We start from the raw sequence: 19,461 nt of genomic DNA, 5'->3' as shown, positions 1-19,461 counted from the left end.
CACTGTGAACTGCTCATGTCCCCCAGCAAGCCCATTGCCTTTTGCCATTATTGCTTAGGTTGTGCGGCTTAAGCTAGTCAATGTCAGCTTATATTGCTTACAGCCCAGGAGCTGTGTGGAGGAGGCATCTGCTGTCCTTGCTGGGCTCGGCAGGAATGAGTGGCTGATTGCTTAGTGATGTCTGTCCTGGGTACAGCACGAGAAGAGAGGACTGGAGCCAAATTTGGCTGTCCACCTTCATCCCTTCCATCTTCATTCCGCACTCTGCCAGCCTTCCCTGGTCTAGCAGGCATGGGGACTCTCTAGCCTTTTAGGAAGACCAGCTGCAAAACCTCTCCTTGCCATTCAAGACAGGTCTGATGGAAGTCCTTACCGATGTCCAATCTATGCCACACCCAAGCAGCTCTCAAAAATCAGCCTTCTTGTCCCTGTCAACAGAACATGCTGGAAAATAGATCTAAGAGGCTGATTTCACTAACTCCCAGGCATGCTGAGTCTCCTAGGGCTGGCTTCCTTTCTCCCAGTTACCCTCCCCAGGGGGTAAAATCCATGGTCTGGGTGGGGGAGGGGGTGGCTAACCCTCCCCAGTGCTGCAGCTATGGCCACACGAATTCCCCAGGCACCTGCCTCCCCTCTGCGAAGGGAGAAGAAAGCCCCGCATCTGCCCTTGAAGGATGTGGTGGCACCTCTGGGCTGCGGAGCTGCACCTGTCGGATGATCGGATGATGAATGCCTCCTTCAGTCTGGTGCTTTCAGCTTTCTGCATGGAAGCCAAGACACATGTAAGAGCCCTTTGAGGACACTCATTTACATGACAAGTACACAGATTACAAACCATCGTATTTCACCGGTTTCCAGCCGGCCAGCCTGGAGACCTGCCCCTCTCCAGACCCTTCTGCCATTAATCTTGGGCTGAACGAGCCAGTGAGGCGGGGCAGATTGCATTTGCTCTCCCATGATGTGCCCGAGGCCAGACTGAAGAGCGGCTCATCTAGCATTTTTCATTTTCCACCTAACAGATTCAATATTTTAACAAATCCAAGTGCTGTATACACGGGGGGTGGCTTCCAAGAGGCGGCTGCACTCACCATGCTTCTGCCATGGGTCATTAATTGAGTGGCCTGTGAGTTATGGACTGCAGTGGCTCTGAGCCCTGGCTTGCTCTCCCTTTGGTGTCGGGTGGTCTACAGGTTCCTGTGGGATGCAGAGATCAGGGTATCTGGAGGCCTAAGATCCCAGGGGTCTATATGTCAAAGCGGGGCCCTCAATGGGGGTTCTGGCTGCAGGACCACCTATTCACCCAGCTATCCCTTACTCACTCACAGTCTGCAGTGTGCAGGGCTCAGGGTGATGCTCAAAGGGACACAGTCACAGGAGACACCGTCTCCACCCTGGAGGAGTTACTCAAGACAGACATGAAGCCAGCAGTTAAGTGACAGGGCAGAAGCTCCGAAGGAAGAGGCCCAGGATCCACTTTTAGGGAGGTGGGGAAACAGGATCCACAGAGGGAGGCGAGGCGGGCCTGTGAGGATGGCTCCTGCCTCTCCCCGCCTGCCGGTAGGGGCTCAGAGCAGTGGCTGCAAGGGGTGGAGCTGCGATTTAAACCTCCGTGCGGTGCACCCACACCCAGGTTCGGGTGCCTGCGCCACCTGGTATGTGTCAGCCAGGCGGGGGCTGAGAAGGCTTCCTGGGGAATGGGCTAAGGTGGTGTTCGGAGGATGAAGAGGAGTCGACGAAAGGGAGAAAGAGGAAAAGCATCCCGGTGGGAGGGTGCAACGTAGCTTGAGCCAGGTGGCTTTAGGAACCTTCCAGAAGTTTGATTTGGCTGGAGACAATTCCATCTCCTTTGCAGAGTAAGAAAGTGAGGCTGTGCTCTCTGTGCATGGGAAAGAGAAAGAGCAGAGAAGTCGTTGCCTGAGCCCCTGAGTCAGTTGCTGCTGTGAGTGGGTTCTGGCCCCACACCTTGTAAAACCCACAGGTCTGTCCTCTAAAGGAGGGAACCCCTACAGCTCTTAGTGCAGAGAACACAGCCCAGCTCAGGGACGCGACGTGGCTCAACAGGGCCCTGGCCGCCGCCTCTGCTACTGCCCAGGATCAGACCCCAACCCAGCTCTCCAAAAAGTAGACCAGATGGCACATACCACTGTCATCTTCACAGGGAGGTGGGGTCTTGCAGAGGGGAGAAAAGACTTTGACAAACACAGAGGAGAAAAGAAGAAACTGGTCACATGCTCCCTGCAGATGAGCACAATTGTTTCCACCGCAGATGGGGAAACCGAGGCATGAAAAGGGAAGCTGGCAGCCCTAGATCGCCGGGTAAACCAGAGAAACCTTGCAGTCTGGGGCTTTCCTTGACTGCTCTGAGAAACATGGACAGGCTGGGGAAGGGACAGCCCAGGCTGCCTTCCTGGGATATCCCCATTTCACAGTGTCTTCAAGCGCAGCCTCCCCTGCCATGCGCAAGTCTAACTCCTCAGCTGTGAGTTTGAAGGGGCAACTCCACCTGCTCCCTCCGAGACAGAATGCAGTTGCATTCCATTTGTTTTTATTTCATGTTAGTCATTTATTTAAAAATTGCTTCCAGGAAACATATAAGCAAGACTCTGTGTCCACAATATTTTCCATCTTTTGTGGGATGTCAGGGATGAGCTCAAACAGTGACTCAGTATCCAAATGTCACAATTGGCTGGGGAAACGATTTCCATATGAATAGACACGTGAGTCCAAACTGCGAACATGGAGGAGATACCTGTGCCTGGGGAAATGCAGGAAGGCAGCCTTGTTTATGTTTACACTGGGCGATCGCCTTCCCCTGAAACGCTGGGTTGAAATCCTGAATTAAAACATTTCTCCCACTTTAGGGTTATTAATAAGCAAATGCTGCATTTCCCAAAGTCTGTTTTGTGGGACCATCTCAGGGGGACATTCACAGCTGCAGAGGTGGTTGGAAGTGCCCATTGCCAAGGACTCCCTCTGTTTGGTCACAGGTGAGGGGGCACCGCCTCGCTGCTGGGGGTGGGCACGGCTTTGTGATTTGCTTTGTCAATTAAGATATGGGAAAGAAAAATGGGAAGGGGAAATGGGAAAGGGATATGGGAAGGGGAAATGGGAGGGGAAGTGGGAAGAAGAAGAGGGAAGGGGAAATGGGAGGGGAATGGGAGGGGAAATGGGGATGGGAAACGGGAAGGAGAAATGGGAAGGGGAAATGGGAAGGGGAAGAGGGAAGGGGAAATGGGAAGGGAAATGGGAGGGGAAATGGGAAGGGGAAATGGGAAGGGGAATGGGAGGGGAAATGGGAAGGGGAAGAGGGAAGGGGAAATGGGAGGGGAAATGGGAGGGGAAATGGGAAGGGGAAATGGGAAGGGGAAAGGGAGGGGAAATGGGAAGGAGAAATGGGAAGGGGAAGAGGGAAGGGGAAATGGGAGGGGAAGAGGGAAGGGGAAATGGGAGGAGAAATGGGAGAGGAAACGAGGAGGGGAAATGGGAAGGGAAATGGGAGGGGAAATGGGAAGGGGAAGAGGGAAGGGGAAATGGGAGGGGAAGAGGGAAGGGGAAATGGGAGGAGAAATGGGAGAGGAAACGAGGAGGGGAAATGGGAAGGGAAATGGGAGGGGAAATGGGAAGGGGAAATGGGAAGGGGAAGAGGGAAGGGGAAATGGGAAGGGGAACTGGGAAGGGAAATGGGAAGGGGAAGAGAGAAGGGGAATGTGAAGGGGAAATGGGAAGGGGAAGGGCACATTAAGAGCCAGAACGGTTGGAGACTTTCCCTGTTCTGCCCCACTTCTGAGATGAGTGAGGGCGTTTGTGCAAGGAGCGAGCCTTCGTCACCCTGGTTTCCCGCCACTTCAGCTACTGAGATTCTCTGCAGACCCACGATGGACATGGAGCACATCTGGGAATGAACTGGAATTTCTCAAGCTGCAGGGCCTTGGGGGCTGTTTGCTGCTGACCTTGCTTGGCGGATGCAATGAGATGCCTGCAGATGAGGGCAGCCACAGGTGTTCCGGCCGTGCTTGGCCTCACCGACTGGCTGAGTGTGTGAGAGAAGAATTTCCTGTGTTCCTTGGTCACAGGGCCCTCTTCTGTGGGAAGGGACCCACAGAGCATGCTCCGGAGGCCCCGAGCTCACCCACCCACCCACCCACTGTCTGCAGTGGTCCCAGGCTGTCTCACTCACCATTGCCATCACCCTTTAGACAAGAAGTGTGGGTCACAGCGGGGAGGAACTTTCCCAATGTCTCCCCTGGCAGTGCCCGATCAGCATCCAGGACCCCAGCATGGCACCCTCTCCCCAGCGCGTGTCACCCTGGGCTGCGCCTGATTCTGTGGTTGGAATTTCCTTCCGTGCCCAGTCATTCAAGGCAGAGGGACCTGGGTGGTGTATGATTTCAGATTCCTCTCTCAGGTGCTGTCGGTGACAATGAGACTATCAAAGCTCTCATTGGAAGCAAAATGAAGGTGCTCTGGGGTGACTGACTGCTCATACCCAGCTGTGGGCTGAGCCAACATGCCCCCATCTGAGCAGGGGTGTCAGGTGGACAGGAAGGTAGCCCCCACCAGGGCAGGGAAGGGCCTCTGGGCACATGGGTGATGGGAGAGAGAGGGGGCAGGAGCCACAGCAGGCACAGGGGCCCCTCCTCCCGCCCTGCTCAGACCCCTGCTCTCTCTGGGGTCAGCTCCATGCGCCCAGATAGACTCTTATTCAAATTCATCCCAGGACTGGTCCTTAGCAGGGCCCCTGCAGGTCTGGGGGGTACATGGCCACGTTGGCAGCTCACAGGACCCCAACCTCTGGCTTTGCCAGTGCTAGCACTGCCTTCCCAGCTGGGCCCAGACCCTGGCAGAGACTGTGTGGCACTGGTTACTGGGAAGCTGGGGTCCTCCAGCCATGCAGCAGGTGAGTGGTCCTGGGCAGGTGTGGCTGCCACCGCTGGTGGCCAGATCCCAGGAAGACATGGCTGCCCCTTTTGACTGTATTTGCCTCAATCCCAGCATCCAGGCAGCAGGAGGGTCCGACACTTATTTGTCCTAGGTTGGGTATCAAGGGCCCATTGTAAGTGAGGCATTGGGCTCGGTGCACAGTGGAGGTGCTGTCTATGGCGTCAAGGAAGAACATTCTCTTCATATCTGTGAGCAGCAAGACGAGAGACGATGCCTCCAGGTTATGACCATGAGGATTCTCAAACTCAGTGCCACTCAGGCCCAGCATCTCCTCGCAGGCTGGTTTGTGTTTGCAGAAGCCTGCTGAGGGAATGACCCCAGCAGCCCTCGCTTGCCTCCCTCAGCCTGGCCACTGAGCCTCTCCCTGGCTGAGAAGAGGTTTGGAGTCCGCGTCCTGGCCTCGTGCCCCACCCAGTTCCAGCGATCCTGGCAGCCTCTGGAAATGGAGGGGAAGGGCCAAGCTGAACCAGGGGGCTGGACCCTGGGGACAAGAAGATCCAGAGGAGTGACAGCAAATCCAAAGGAGAGACAGGGCACCAATGTGAGTATGTGCAGACCTAGGGTCTGGGCACCCCTGCACCGTGGTGGCCACAACTGTGTTGTGGTCATTGCTGTCACATTACATTTGGGATAACAAGGAAGGCTTGGTCAGCCAGGCAGTGGCTGGGCAGGGGACCCGATGGCCAAGTCTGTGTCCTCCTACTGCCTGGGGCCGCCTCTCAGGTTTGGCTGCTCTGGCCCTGGGGATGCCTCTGGCCATCCTGACGCAGCCACCGGGCCAGTGTGAACTTGGCTAGCCCATTCCCTGCCGGCCTCGGTGGCTCTCCTAGAGATGAGAGGCAGGGGCTGGAACCTCCAGCTGTCTGTCAGGTCCCGTGGGCCTCTCTAACCCCACCTGCACCCTCTTCTTGGTTGAGAATATTGTCATTTGAACACAGTGACGTGCTGAGCTGCCCAAGGGCCACAGCCATGTGACAGCCCAGCCTGGCCTTTCAGCGAAGTCACTTGTTTGGAAAGAAAGGTCTCAGAGATGGGGCCTTCTGCCCATTGCTTTGGGGACAGGCTGTCAGAATGCAGAGCTGTCGATGAGGGAGAAATCCCACCGCAGGGCAGCCTCCCAGGGACCTCGGGTAGGAGACAAGGACTAAAGTCGCGGGTGCAACGCCTTTCCTCAGATGTGGGTGCAGCCCAGGGGTCTGCTCAGCCACTGGGGTTGGAGTTGGTGGGGAGGGCCGGGTGAGCCCAGTCCCTGTCACTGTGGTGGGGACACACCTGCCATCTTCCTGTGGTCAGTCCGGATGGGGGTGCACAGATGGTGACGAAAAGAAGAATGTTCTGTATTTTCATTCGACAACCAAATAGTAGGCATGTCCCCTGTGCAAGGGGCTGGGGAAACAGTGGTCACCGGGGCAGACAAACATCCCCCATTCCAGAATGCACATTCGGAAAGGGGGGGTGGCAGTGACAAAAACAAGTGGCTGACAAGTGTTCAGGTGCAGTGCGTTGCAAAGTGGGAGTGAGGGGCAGGGGATTCTCATTTTAAACATGGGGTCCGTGCATCCCTGTGGGCAAGGGGCACTGGGGCAGAGACTTGAGGATATAAGGGAGGGCCACATAGAACTCAGGGAAGAGCATGCCAGGCTCGGGTACGGCAAGTGCAAAGGTCCCGAGGTAGGAGCAATGAGGAGGCCAGGAGCACTGAAGGGAGGGAGGGGGAGAGCTGGGGTGGGAAAGAAGGTCAAGGAGCCGGGGGCAGCACTGGGGGCCTCAAGAGCCAGGAGTTTGGCCTGACTCTGGGTGAGTGAGGGCCTCCTTTGGGTTTTGAGTTGTGAAGTGACTTGTCTGCGGGCTGAAAGCTCCCTCTGGCTCCTTGCCGAGGCTCTTCTGAACCACACGAACGAGGGACGGGCTGGTGCTGGGAGGAAGACGTGGAGGATGGGGCCCTGCAGCCTGGATGGAGCCCTGCTCCCTGTGGAGGGCACAGTGCTGTTTTCACTGGGATGTGGGCTCCTTGCGCTCCTATGTCAAGGCCTGGGTGTCAAGTTCAGGAGGAGGCAGGGCGCCGCGGGCCGGGCAGCTTCGGCAGCCTGACTTCCCCAACAAGATCAGAGGTGTCGGTTTGATGAAGGAACCAGGGTCCTGTCAGTTGGAGAAATTCAATAATTCAGCCCGCCATCTGCGCCACCAACCAGAAGTCCCCCGAGACACTCCAGGGGCGGGGCCGGTTTAAACTCTGGCTCTGCTGCCCACTGTGACCTGTGATCTCGAGTGAGACATGGCTTGGTGGAAACAGGAAGGACCCAGAGGGCACAGTGTGGACGGGAGCACTAGGAGCCCCTCAGTTCTAGTTTCCTTTCCTTCCTGGGCACCTGGCTGCACCCCAGGCCTCCCCTGTAGTCTGGAGGGGTCGGGTGTCCATTTTTTGACCAACGGGGTGTGGGCAGAAGTGCTGCAACCCCCAAATCCCTCACGGTGGGTCGGCTGCCTGCTCTCTTGCCCATCAGGGCTGAGTGGAGGGGCTCCGAGGACCCCGGGACAGATCAGTCTGGAGGAGGGAGCTGTTGCCTGCTTAAGTGAGATGCACTTTGCTTTAAGCCTCTGAGGCACGGGATGTTTGTCTCGGCAGCTGGTCTTCCTGACGCACACGGACGGAGCAGCAGGGAGGTGGCCGCTAAGCTCTAGGGGGGAGGTAGTGGGAGCACAGCAGCTGAGGGTGGGCCAGGGTGGGACCCAGGCTGACCTCCAACTGTTCCACTTTGGGACAGTCGCTGGCCTTTACTTTCCTCTCACCTAAGTGGGTGACAATGACAACGTCTGCCTCAGATGGTGGCCCTGCAGGTCCTGGTGATAAAGCCAGGCCTGGCCCTGAACAGGTCCCTACCGTGGGCCCTTTCAGTTGCTCTTAGGGTCAGTCCCTCCATCCTCTGTGTGTGGGGCCTGCAGTGAAGCTTTTGGGATCCAGGGTCCCTGTGGTCTGACCCCTGGCCCCACCGGTGGTCTGGCTTTGGGTTCAGTAGCTCTTTGAGCCTCAGTTTCCCTGCTTGCCACACTGGCTTGTGCAGACTGGTGCTGGCTTCCAGGCTGGGTCCCATCCTGGCCAGGCCCCACGGCCCCCTCAGATGTGTGGAATGATTCCACTTTCTCCTCACACTGGCCCCCAGGTCACCCTCGGGCACTGGGACCATCAGGCCCTGGGATGACTGTCCTCTTTGAAGAGATGGTGCAGCTGAGACCCAGGCCACTGGGCAACTTTCTCAAGGTTGCACGGGCCCAGTGGACAGCAGCCACAGGGATGGGGCTCCCCCCACAGCCCCTGAGTCCAAGCACCTCTGAATCAGCCCGCTGGGGTCCCTTCCTTCCTCTGCCCCACTGGCTGCATGAGCTCGGGCAGGTGGCCTGCATGGTATGAGAGTGCGTTCCTCATCTTAATACGGAGAGACCACACCCATGAGGAAGCCAGCCTCAGGATGGCCCCCAGCGACCCTCAGGCAGGCAGAAGCTGGCAGAAGCTGCGTTAGCCCCTCCCTTGATTAGGTTATAAAAGGCACTGTGGGTCCCATTTTGGGTGCCTCTCTCTCTCTCTCTCTCTCTCTCTCCCTCTCTCTCTCTTCCTCTCTCTCTCTGTCTCTCTCTCTCTCTGTCTCTCTCTGTCACGTTCTGCGGGGGGAACCACCTACCACATCGTGAGTGGTTCGTCGGCGAGGTCCGGGTGGTATGGAGCCTTTTCCCAACAGCCAGGTGAGTGAGTTTGGAAACAGATCCTCCAAGCCACACAGACCTTCAGGTGAGGTGGCCTCTGCTGCCTGTTTGACTGCAACCTCATGAGAGACCCCAAGCCAGAAGCACCCAGCTAAGCCGCTCCCTAATTCCTGACCAACAGGACACTGGGATGACAGATGTTGCTGTTCTCTTCTGCAGCTGAGTTTCGTGGGTGGTCAATCTGTCCCACAGCAGAGGCACCGTGTGGGTTGAGCCAGAGGGTTCCCGCAGGCTGTGGGTGCTGAGTGGCTGGCCCCCAGGCAGTTCTCATGGTGAGGAACTTGTTAGTTAAGCTTTGCCTCTCTCTGCCCTCAGTAGTTGTGTGGGTGATTACCAAGTGGACGCAGACATTTCTTTGAGGAGCTCTAACGGAGATGCCTGTGTTTGGATGAAGTTTGGGAAATTTACGAGTGGCCATTGAGGAAGGCAGGCAGGTCCGCTTTGTGCATTTCAGCTCCTCCTGCCTTGACAGAGGAAACTTGTGGCTCTTGAGTGTGCACACTTCAGAGCAGGAAAGATGCAGAAATTGAATTAGTTTGCACATTTGGGCTGTCGATGACTTTATTCAAAGCCGTTTCGCTTTTGCTCATTTTTAATCTCTTCCTTCCATTTTTAAACAGCTGGCAGCCAAGTAGGGCTCAAGTGCATATCCTAGGGGCCGTTGCAGGCTCAGCCACATTATCATAACCCTCTCTCAAGGAGGCTGTAGCCCGCAGGAGCTGAGTGGAGGAGAGCTGGTGGCCACAACCAGAGGCTGGAAGGCAAATCAGAAGGGTGCAGTGAGGGTCTGTGCACATGGGGCTGCGTGCAGGCCTCTGTGACCGGGTGTACTGGGCGCTGAGTGTGTTCCAAGGCTTCTGTGACTTCCCTTAGTGCAAGCACTCCCACGCAGAGGAGACCTAGCTTGCATTAGGAGTTATGACTGCTCAGCAAACTCAGATTGACCTCCCACAGTGGGCCAGGCCCTTGTCCCTGCCTCACACGGTTGGTACAGTGCAGATACAGTACAGTACCGGGCTTGGCCCCTGCAATGGCTGAGAAATATATGCTCTGTGAAGATTCACAACGACCGCCCCCCAAACCCAGGGACGACTTCATCTCCTTTGGTCGGAGTATGCCTCCTTGAAAAGATGGAGGCTGAGCCTCTCTTTTGGTCAGAATGCCTCCTTGAAAAGATGGAGGCTGAGGCTCTCTTCGTGAGTGGGTGGAGGAAGAATAAGGACTGGGGAACGGAGGAGTCAAGGGCCCAGGCACAGACCAGCCGGGAACGTCAGAGGAGGGAGGACGGCTCTGCTCATGCTTCTGGGACTATCTATAGAGTCCGTGGATGGCAGCCCGGGACACAGACTTCATCCCAGCTCCAGGGGATCCACAGAAGCCTTTACAGTAGGAAGTGAGGTCCAGGGTGTACCTTAGCCGGGCTAACACAGCCACAGTGGAGGGGAATTACTGAAAGATGTAAGTAAGGCCGGTCAAGAGATGGAGACCAGTGAGGGGCTCCTGCCTGAGGGAGAGATAAGGATGGGCCTCCGCCATGAGGGAGTAGTGGGGTGTGGCATGATGGGGGGTGTGGCATGGGGGTGTGATGTGGCATGGTGGAGGGTGTGGCATGGGGGTGAGGTGTGGCATGGTGGAGGGTGTGGCATGGGGGTGAGGTGTGGCATGGTGGAGGGTGTGGCATGGGGGTGAGGTGTGGCATGGGGGTGAGGTGTGGCATGGTGGAGGGTGTGGCGTGACATGATGGGGGCTGTGGCATGGGGTGTGGTGTGGCGTGGTGGGGGTGTGGTGTGGCGTGGTGGGGGGTGTGGCATGGGGTGTGGTGTGGCATGGTGGGGGGTGTGGCATGGGGTGTGGCATGGTGGGGGGTGTGGCATGGGGGTGAGGTGTGGCATGGTGGAGGGTGTGGCATGGGGGTGAGGTGTGGCATGGTGGGGGGTGTGGCATGGGGGTGAGGTGTGGCATGGTGGGGGTGTGGTGTGACATAATGGGGGTGTGGCATGGGGTGTGATGTGGCTTGGTGGGGGGTGTGGTGCAGTGTGGTGGGGTGTGTGACACGGGGGTGTGGGGTGTGGTGTGGCGTGACGGGGTGTGGCGTGGTGTAGATGTGGTGTGGCATAGTGGGGGTGTGGTGTGGTGGCGATGTGTGTGGCATAGTGGGGGTGTGGCATGGTGGAGGTGAGGTGTGGCATAATGGGGGTTTGGTGTGGTGTGACAGGGGCCTGGTGTCACAGAGCTTGGCATAGCAGTGGGCAGATCTTGAAGTGGCGAGGGTATATGATATGATGTAGTGGGGGAGTGACAGAGTGCAACCAGGGGATGGGGAATGTGGCATGGGGTGTGGCAGGGCACAGTAGGGGCATGGTAAAGGCATGGCATGGTGGGGGCTTGGTGTGTGTGGCATAGGTGTGACATGGTAGGTGCGGCACAGTGGGGGGTGGCAGGTGTGGCAAGGGCGTGACTCAGTAGGCATGCCACGATGGGGTTTGGGGGTGTGGCAAGGGTGTGACCTAGGTGTGGCATGGTGGGGACATAGCAGGTGTGGGGTGAGTGTGACATGGCAGGTGTGGCACAGTGGGGGCATGGCAGGCGTGTGCAGAAGGATGGTGGCATAGTGGGCATGCGGCAAGTGTGTCATGGGTCATGCCTCACGGAGGAGACAGCTGAGGTCAAGGCACAGGGGCAGGGCGGGGTCGCACCCTCCTTTCCTCTCTGCCACAGCATCTCAGCTCTCCCAACTGTGGCCCTGCCTGAGAAGCCTCCAGGGGAGGAAAGGACCCACTGCTTGCTTGGGAGAGGAGAGCTTTGATTTGCTGAAGAGCTTTTTACCACCTGACAAGGAGAGTGGTCCCAGCACTCATAGATCTTTAGCCCAAGATTCTGAAAAAAAAAAAAAAAAAAAAAAACAGAAAATCAAGGACCTACTGACAGATGGTGCAAAATCATGCTCAGAGTCTGTGAGCACGTTGAACTTTGGGTCAACGAGCACTGATGGTCTTTCCTGGTGCCCTAAGAAACTGCATTTCAAAAGGAAAGATGGGCAAAAACGCCAGTGCCCAAGAAGGGAGTTGCTTCTGCTCAAGGAGTGGGGTTGCTGAGTGCTATGTGGAGATCGGGGGAAGGGGAAACTCAATAAGTTAGGCCTGGGGGGATCAAGGAAGGTTCCAGAGAGGAGCCCACGTAGGAAGTGGCTTCTGCTGTAGAAGTGGGGTTGCTGAGTACTGTGTGGAGCTCAGGGGAAGGGGGAACTCAGTGAGTTAAGCCTGGGAGGATCAAAGAAGGTTCCAGAGAGGAAGGGAACCATGGATGGTCTTGGAGGAGGGATTTTCAGGAGGGTGGAAGGGCACTTACAAAGGCCCAGGGGAACAACTCACTTTGGGGAATAGGTATGCAGATGGGTGGGGGTGGGGTGTCGGGGGCTGCAGAGGGGCCTTGGGGAGCATCACAGAACATGTGGGCAGCACAGGCATGGCCTGTGGGTGCTGCAGAGTCTTGGAGGGTCTCAGGCAGGGGACTGGGGCCTTGAACCCCGCTCTGGCAGTTGTGTGAACTGTGGTGGATGGAAGAGGAGAGGAACGTGACCCACTGTGGGAGACAGTGCGGGGGCTGCAGCACCACCCAGACCCTGCCTCACCCGGCTGCGAGCAGTGGCGCCCTAACCCACAGCCCTACCTCCCCGCCGCTCCTCGGAGCTCTCTGCTCTCCCGAGGTTTCTGTTCATCGCTGCTTCTGGCTTCTGCAACTGAGGTCTGTGTGGGACGGTCCCCTGCCCACACCAGAGACCCTTTGGCTGCTGTTGATGTTGGTGTCAGAGATGACGGAATTTCTCTGCGAAGAAAACGGACTGCTGACGCTGTGATATCAGAATCAATCCAAACACACGGCACATAGTTGGAATTAATGTGACTTTTTCTTTTGAAAGCGATACAGGGTGCCTAATAAAAGCCTCTTCATTTGGGAAGACACATTCCTTGATTTAAAAGCTGATATGTATCAAGGGAACAAGATTAAAAAGCAAACTGACATCCACACAGGCTTGAGATAGATACTCACTGGGCAGCCAGGGCCGCCACCCAAAGGGCTCGCGTGGGTTGGAGGTGGCTGGTGGGGTCAGGGCATCTGATTGGGCTGCCGAGTCTGGGGAGGGCTGGCTCTTCCAGAAAGAGGGCAGGGCTGAGGCAGGCAGCACATTCACCCCCACCCTGCCTGTGTTTCTCACCACGTTTTCACCTTTTAATAGATGGGGCTATTTTTAACTGGCTTGCCAACACTTCCGTAGGTCTTTATTCCCCACATTGAAAGCTGACAGAGAGGCATCCAGGAGGCACGATTGCTCCTTAGAAGCATGGAGGTCGTGGGAAGGCGCATGTGGGAGGAAGAGGAGGAATTTCAGAAGGGAACCCGCCAAAGACGGGTGTGGAAAGGCATGGCCAGCTTGGAGGAAGCTGGTTGAACTCCGTCACGTGGCTTTGACATTCAGGGTGGGATGGATGAGGACTGAGGTCTCCCAAGGACAGTGTTGCCCCTCCCATGGGCTGTTCTAATGTTCCAGGGACAGGGGAGGGAGTGACAGCCTCTCCTGCTCTGGACTCTGGATCGGGACAATCAGGGACATTGAGTCCCTGAAATGCATTTCTTCAAGGACAAAGGCAAAGGGTCACCCTGGCTCTGAGGCGGACGTGCAGGGCAGGGTCCTCCAGGCCAGATCCCTCCTCTGCATCCTGATGAGGTCCAGACAAGCCCCTGACTCCAGCCCAGCCCATGCAGCTGGCTCTTGCTGCAGGCCAAGTGCTGCACGTGGTCACTGGCCACCCACACTGATGCTCTTGCCAGACTTGTTGCCGAATACTCCCGGGGGTCAAAAGTGGCCCGAGTAGTGGCGGGCGGGGTGAACGGCCTGTCCCCAGAGGCACTGAGAAAGCCAGCGCTGCCGCTCCTGGAAATAAGTTAAGGAGAATCTGGGCACTATCAGGGATGGCGTCGGCGGGGGGCAGGGCACAGGGGAGGAGCCCAGGGGTGCCCTCAAAGTTCCTCCCAGCCAGGATTCACCACGGGCCCAGGCTTTTGGAAACCTGAAAGGAAAAGATGAGGAAGTAATAACAGCAGGCTGAACTCAGACCAAAATAAAAGCCTGCTGCCCAACGTGCCCGATATTTCATGGGCATCTGGCTGGCCTTGAGATCAATGGCAAGATTCACAGAACACTGGGTGCCGTGCGCACAGCAGGCTGTCCAAAAATGCCTGTTGAAAGACTTCCCACCACCTACAAAACCCGCGGTGTGTTTTCTACTGGATCTGCCCCCTCCACTTACAAGTCAGTGCCGTCGACTTCAGAATGATGTTCACAGGACAGTGGTCGTGACCAGCCGGGCCTCTCTACCCATAAAGGTCCCAGCCTTACCAGTGGCCTTAGGGGGAAGCCGGTAAGAGGGCACTCACCAGGCAGCAGCTGATCCTGTGACCGAGTGGCTCTGACTGGGTCACCAAGACCCCAAAAGCTCCTACAGCAGGTCCTGGTAGGCAGGAGCTCTGAGAAGGTTGGGAGGGCCAAGCAGGTTCAGCTCAGGCTCCGCTGCCAGGTGGCGGGGCATGGCCCCCCTTCTTGAAATATAGCTTCTTGCCCTTCCCTCTAAAATGGAAACACTGGAAGTGGGTCCCGAGGTCTCATCCAAACTGGAGGCAGGTGAAGCAAACCCCACGTCCTTCCTCTTTGCAGGCAGCACCCCTAGCTCGCAGGCTGCAGGGGCCCTATGTGGGGTGTCCATCTGGTCTGCGTTACGCTATGGTGACCTGAATCTTCGGTCCTTTCACGCACATAGAAACTGCTCTGGGGCCAGGCCAAGCCGCTGCAAGTGCTGGCCTCTATGGCGTGACCCGGGCAGCGGCCACTCCGTCAGCCCAGTGCCAGGCCTGCGTTCGTCCTGGGGAGGGCAGGGAAGAGCAAGGCGCAGAGAGACCCGGGCCCAGTTCTGAAAAGGGACTGCGCATCTCATTGGCCAGGACCGGCCACGTGACCCCACTTCCCCACCAGGCTGGTCTTCCACCTCTCCCACTGCCCAGAAGGCGGGCTGGGAAACAGGACCTGGCGAGCCCCCAGGACCGCCTCTACCTCCGATACTGATGCTAAATGACCACACGGTCACTGGTGAGGGAGCTGTGACCGAGAAAGCAAAGTAATTATTTAAGTGACGGCTCATTCCAGGTGGCCTTGCCTCTTAATCTCACATTAGATGCCTTATTACACTTCAATTAAATTCCCACTTAGGATGGCGCTTAAAAGGCATTTCCGGGCGGGCGAGCCGGGCCTGGTCGATCCCGGCTTCCCGGAGAGGCGACGGCCTGCGATGACATGGCCCGCCGGTGATGAATTGCTCCGCGAGAGCACTGCCGACCCTTGGCCGAGGGAAGGAATGAGGTTCTCATGATGGATGACTTAGGGAGGGCTGTTTAATTTCCCGCAATCACCTGTCACTCTGTGGCCATCGGCGGTGGTGACTGCGTCATGTTCTGTGTTTTGTCCATCCATCAAGTAAACATGAGGCCAAAAGTGCTTCTCATTTCATTGCCGGGGGAGACCGTATACGGGGAGGTGGGCAGGTTAGGTGCTCTTCTTAGAGCAGGGACAGGGGTTTAGCAAATAAGTGAGAAAACCCTTAGCAGACACAGGCGTCTGGTCCGGGACTGGTTCATACAGCTGGAAAGAGCAGGGGTGTCTTCTTTTTAATTTGCAGATGTCCAGAGGCTGCCCGTGCTTAGTCCTGGCAGGGGACACGCTCAGGGGTGTGTGCATGGCTGGCACAGACCTTCTCGGCTGCTGGAGAGTCAGCTCAAGCAGGACCTTGCCCGGAGGCTGCTGGGCAGTGGCACAGCTGGGCAGCATCTTCCCTCCACGCTGGATGGCGCTCCCTCCATGTGCTGCTATTCCTAAAAAGGACATGGTGTTTTTGTACACCCCCCCGCCCACAAACTTGAGAGGGGGGCACACGTGTGAGTTTAAGTCGGGGCTGCTGTTTTCTCTTTGTTGTCGGCGGGGGGCCAGGGAGAGCAGAAGGATGTCCCATACGTCAGTGACAAAGCTGTCCCATGGCTATCAGGGGCTGGCACCCTCCTCCCTTCTGCTCACAGCCCCTCTGCCCTGGGCCCCTCCTCCAAGGACCCCTCGGGTCCCTGCCCGGGGTAAGGGGCTGACGAGTCTTAGTCACCTGGCCTTTCCAGTTCATTTGAGTCCCTAGCGCCTCGCCGCTGAATTCAGTGTCCTCAGATGATTCATCTGCAGCTGGCTGCAGCCAGATATGCTCCCCATCTCCGAGGTATCCATTGCCAGCTTTTAAAAATAGCTTTATTATTTTCCCCTGATAATAAAACTAATACATAGTTATTGCAAACAAACTGATCAGAAAATGCAGAAAGTGTGCAGAAGGACATGGGGTGCCTGCTTAGCCTACCTCCGAGTGTCTGTGCAGGAAGATGTGCCTGTCTGCCACTAGAGTGCTTGCACTGTAGCAGCCAGCTCTTTTCCACCTAGGGTTCTGTGAGCATCCATCCACAGCCATAAATGTGTGCCATGTGGTCACTTTATTGGCCACACTGAGTCTCCGTTAAGAACCTAGTTTTCAAATTAGGCCAGGTGTGACCCAGGGTGAGACAGGGAACCCTCCAGGCTCTAGTTTTGCTTTGGGGAACAGGAGCTATAACACCTCCTCCATCAGAGTATTGCTCCCGGGCTGCGGCGAGACACAGCTCTGTTTTGCACAAGGTTTGGCTCAGACCTTGCACCAAACAGCATCTCTATGACCCCCACTTCTGTTGGTTCCTGTCACGGACTCCCTGCACAGACACATGACCAGAGCAATGCATCCATGTTGAAGGGCTTGTGAGTTTTCCGTTTTGCTCTGCTACACAACGCAGCATTAAATACCCTTGCTGCTTAGTCTTTGCTCACTTGGCTGATTTAGCTCCAAGATAATTTCTCAAAAAAAGGAACTGCTGGGTCACTGGGTCACTCTTTGTATGATTGCGAATATGTTTAAGAATCGGACCCAAGAACATCTATGTGGCTCTTAGAAAGAATAACTCAATGTCTGTGGTTTGCAAACAGGCCACGCAGCCCAGGGTGGGAGGGGCTGGCGGAAGATGGGCGATCGGAAGCCCACACCTTCTGCTGGACCCATGGCCCTTTGCAAGCTGCAGGGCCAGCAGCTACAGGTACCACTACTGTCACCGTCTCTGACAATTCCTGAAAACTGGGGCCCACATTTCCTATGTTCCAGGTGACAAGTTAAGGGCCACGGAGAGAGGGCACTCAGACGAGGGGCTGAGAAGGCCTACCACCAGCTGTGTCCGGGTGGGGTTGAGTTTCTGAAGGCCAAGGCCTCGCCCACTCTGCTGGCCCTCGGCCCACCTGTCCCTCCACTCTCTTGGACAGGAGCGTGGCTAACTCCAGGCTGAGTGTGAAGAGGGAGTGGCAAGTTTCTGAAAACACAGAGACCACCTCAAGGTCCTCGCTGCCCCTGAGAGATTCTGCTGCTTTTTTGCACCAACTAATGAATTAAGATGTAAGGAAAACTCTGGGCTGCAGCCTTGAGTAATAGCATCCACTTTGGATTTGCTGGGGCTCCCCCCTCCAAGAAGCTATTCCTCATAATAGATCCATTAACCCATTAGGGCCTAGCTCGTATACCTCCTGCATGGCAGGAGCTGCCAACGTAGGCCCCATTGCTTCACAACCTGAGCTGAGCCCTGAAGCCCATCAGTGCTGTGGCCTGGGCAACCCAACTGTCTCTGCCCCGACTTTCAGCCTGAGCTCTCTGAGTGCAGGTCCTGCCAATGCAGTGTGACAGTGACGTCTCAGGTGTGAGGACGTGGGCTTGCTCGTCTCTGTCCCCTGCAGGCTTGGTATAGGGTCTAATGGAATTAGGGGGTGACAGACTGTATTAGTCAGGGTTCTCCGGAGAGACAGAACTAATAGGATAGATGTACATATAAAAGGGAGTTTATTAAGGAGAATTGACTCACACAGTCACAAGGTGAAGTCCCACAATAGGCCATCTGCAAGCTGAGGAGCCAGGAAGCCAGTGGTGGATCAGTCCAAGTCCCAAAACCTCAAAAGCAGGGAAGCCGGCAGTGCAGCCTTCAGTCTGCGGCCAAAGGCCCGAGAGCCCTTGAAAAACCACTGGTGTAAATGCAAGAGCTGAAAAGCTGAAGGACTTGGAGTCCGATGTTCGAGGGCAGGACGCATCCAGCACGGGAGAAAGTTGAAGGCCGGAAGACTCAGCAAGTCCAGTCCTTCCACCTTCCTCTGCCTGATTTATTCTAGCCACGCTGGCAGCTGATTAGATGGTGCCCGCCCAGATTGAGGGTGGGTCTGCCTCTCCCAGTCCACCGACTCAAATGTGAATCTCCTTTGACAACACCCTCACAGACAGACCTAGGAATAGTACTTTGCATCCTTCAATCCACTCCAGTTGACACTCAGTATTAACCATCACACCAACTGTTGCCATCAATGTTCAGCCTCCAACCAACCCTGCTGCAACAGTGCCAGTGTTTTGAGAGCACTCGTTTCTGGCTTGCTTGGTGGTTGAATCGTACGGATGCCTGTGCCTGCTCTGCCCAACACAGTGGAGGAGCGTCACGTGTGTGCACCTGTGGATGGTGTTCGTGCGCCAGTGAGGTCTGGGATGCAGCCAGGAACCCCAAGTGTGACTCTTGCATTCCTTCTACACAGCCCCCAGAACCCACTCAGACCTGAATTTGGTCGGGCTGTGGGAGGACAGGCAGGGCTGGGCTGCTGAGCGGCCATGCACAGAGCTCTTGGACACCGGGGAGGGTGGGGCATGGCAGGGTTAACCCAACGCTGGGGCACGCAGCCTGCAGCAGGATGAACTCAGCCAGCCCTCGGCTTCCCACAGGGTTGGGCCCTCATTTGCCCCCACCTTCTGGTGCACCAGCACCCCCACCATGTTCAAAGTACCACAGTCTCCAGGCCTCTCTGTTCTCTTAGCCCCCAAGTCCCTCATCTGTCACTCCATTGCTTCCTTGAGGACGTCATCAAACCCCACTGAGACCCACCCTGTCCCTCCAGCCCACGGGGACCCTTCCTGCCCAGTGGCTCGGCCTTTGGGTCAACTGGACTCTGATGATTCAGCTGCATCCTGGAATGGCCCTCATATCAGCGGCATTGTGGCACCAGGCACCTGCTAATTTTCTTGGCATTTGCTTTTATAACTAGATAATAGTGATAGCTGTTATTTATCACACACTTATGGGCCAAGCACTTGCTGAGTCCCATTCTTTATTCTGGAGAAGAAGCTGCAGGTGGCTGTCATTAGCCCTGCTCCAGGGTTGACATTCAGAGAGCCAACCAGCTGTCCAGCCCCACAGTGGGAAGGGCAGAGTGGGTGTGCCAGCCGGGGGGTGGCCTTCTGCTCCCTGAGGGAAGGGCTGAAACAGCTGACCTTGAAGATGGTCCACACCCTTCTCAGCCTGTGTGCTGCTGACCGGGTATGCCAAGGCGTGGAAAGCTATGGGGATCCTGGGGGTGGAGGTCGACACAAGGTCTGTGGGGTCACAGGATGGTCACTCTTAGGCCTTGGAGACAAAGGAGTGGAAATGGGCCACCCCCTCCCAACCTCCTGCCTGGGGGGGTCTGCTCATTGCCGTTGTGTTGGGACAGGCTTAGCCCTAAGCAGGGCTCTTGGAACTTGGCTGCTTCCTCACCAGCAGGAGGGCTTCTCTTTGGAAGAGAAGCCCACTTCCTTCTGG

General features: G+C 56.5%; 1 long non-coding RNA gene across 1 annotated transcript, besides 4 other annotated features; it reads right to left on the bottom strand.

Annotated features, from left to right (window-relative positions):
- Positions 447 to 1,104: an enhancer, noted in NCBI's record as "OCT4-NANOG-H3K4me1 hESC enhancer chr9:138090639-138091296 (GRCh37/hg19 assembly coordinates)". NCBI's record gives its function as "activates a minimal SCP1, AML or CMV promoter by ChIP-STARR-seq in naive and primed H9 embryonic stem cells {active_cell/tissue: H9 hESC(naive and primed)}" and the evidence as "EXISTENCE:reporter gene assay evidence [ECO:0000049][PMID:30033119]".
- Positions 1,105 to 1,762: an enhancer, noted in NCBI's record as "NANOG-H3K4me1 hESC enhancer chr9:138089981-138090638 (GRCh37/hg19 assembly coordinates)". NCBI's record gives its function as "activates a minimal SCP1, AML or CMV promoter by ChIP-STARR-seq in naive H9 embryonic stem cells {active_cell/tissue: H9 hESC(naive)}" and the evidence as "EXISTENCE:reporter gene assay evidence [ECO:0000049][PMID:30033119]".
- Positions 11,813 to 12,572: an enhancer, noted in NCBI's record as "H3K4me1 hESC enhancer chr9:138079171-138079930 (GRCh37/hg19 assembly coordinates)". NCBI's record gives its function as "activates a minimal SCP1, AML or CMV promoter by ChIP-STARR-seq in naive H9 embryonic stem cells {active_cell/tissue: H9 hESC(naive)}" and the evidence as "EXISTENCE:reporter gene assay evidence [ECO:0000049][PMID:30033119]".
- Positions 12,573 to 13,332: an enhancer, noted in NCBI's record as "H3K4me1 hESC enhancer chr9:138078411-138079170 (GRCh37/hg19 assembly coordinates)". NCBI's record gives its function as "activates a minimal SCP1, AML or CMV promoter by ChIP-STARR-seq in naive H9 embryonic stem cells {active_cell/tissue: H9 hESC(naive)}" and the evidence as "EXISTENCE:reporter gene assay evidence [ECO:0000049][PMID:30033119]".
- Positions 12,591 to 18,288, bottom strand: LOC401557 (uncharacterized). The gene is made up of 3 exons (NR_046107.1): positions 17,713 to 18,288; positions 15,900 to 16,021; positions 12,591 to 15,621 (listed from the first exon to the last, which is right to left on the bottom strand). It is a non-coding gene; the product is annotated as an uncharacterized LOC401557 (long non-coding RNA).
- Positions 18,289 to 19,461: the final 1,173 nt, after the last annotated feature.

The sequence above is a fragment of the Homo sapiens genome, chromosome 9 (assembly GCF_000001405.40).
Source record: "Homo sapiens chromosome 9, GRCh38.p14 Primary Assembly".
Taxonomy (NCBI): Eukaryota; Metazoa; Chordata; class Mammalia; order Primates; family Hominidae; genus Homo; species Homo sapiens.
This window is presented reverse-complemented; position numbering and strand designations above follow the sequence as displayed.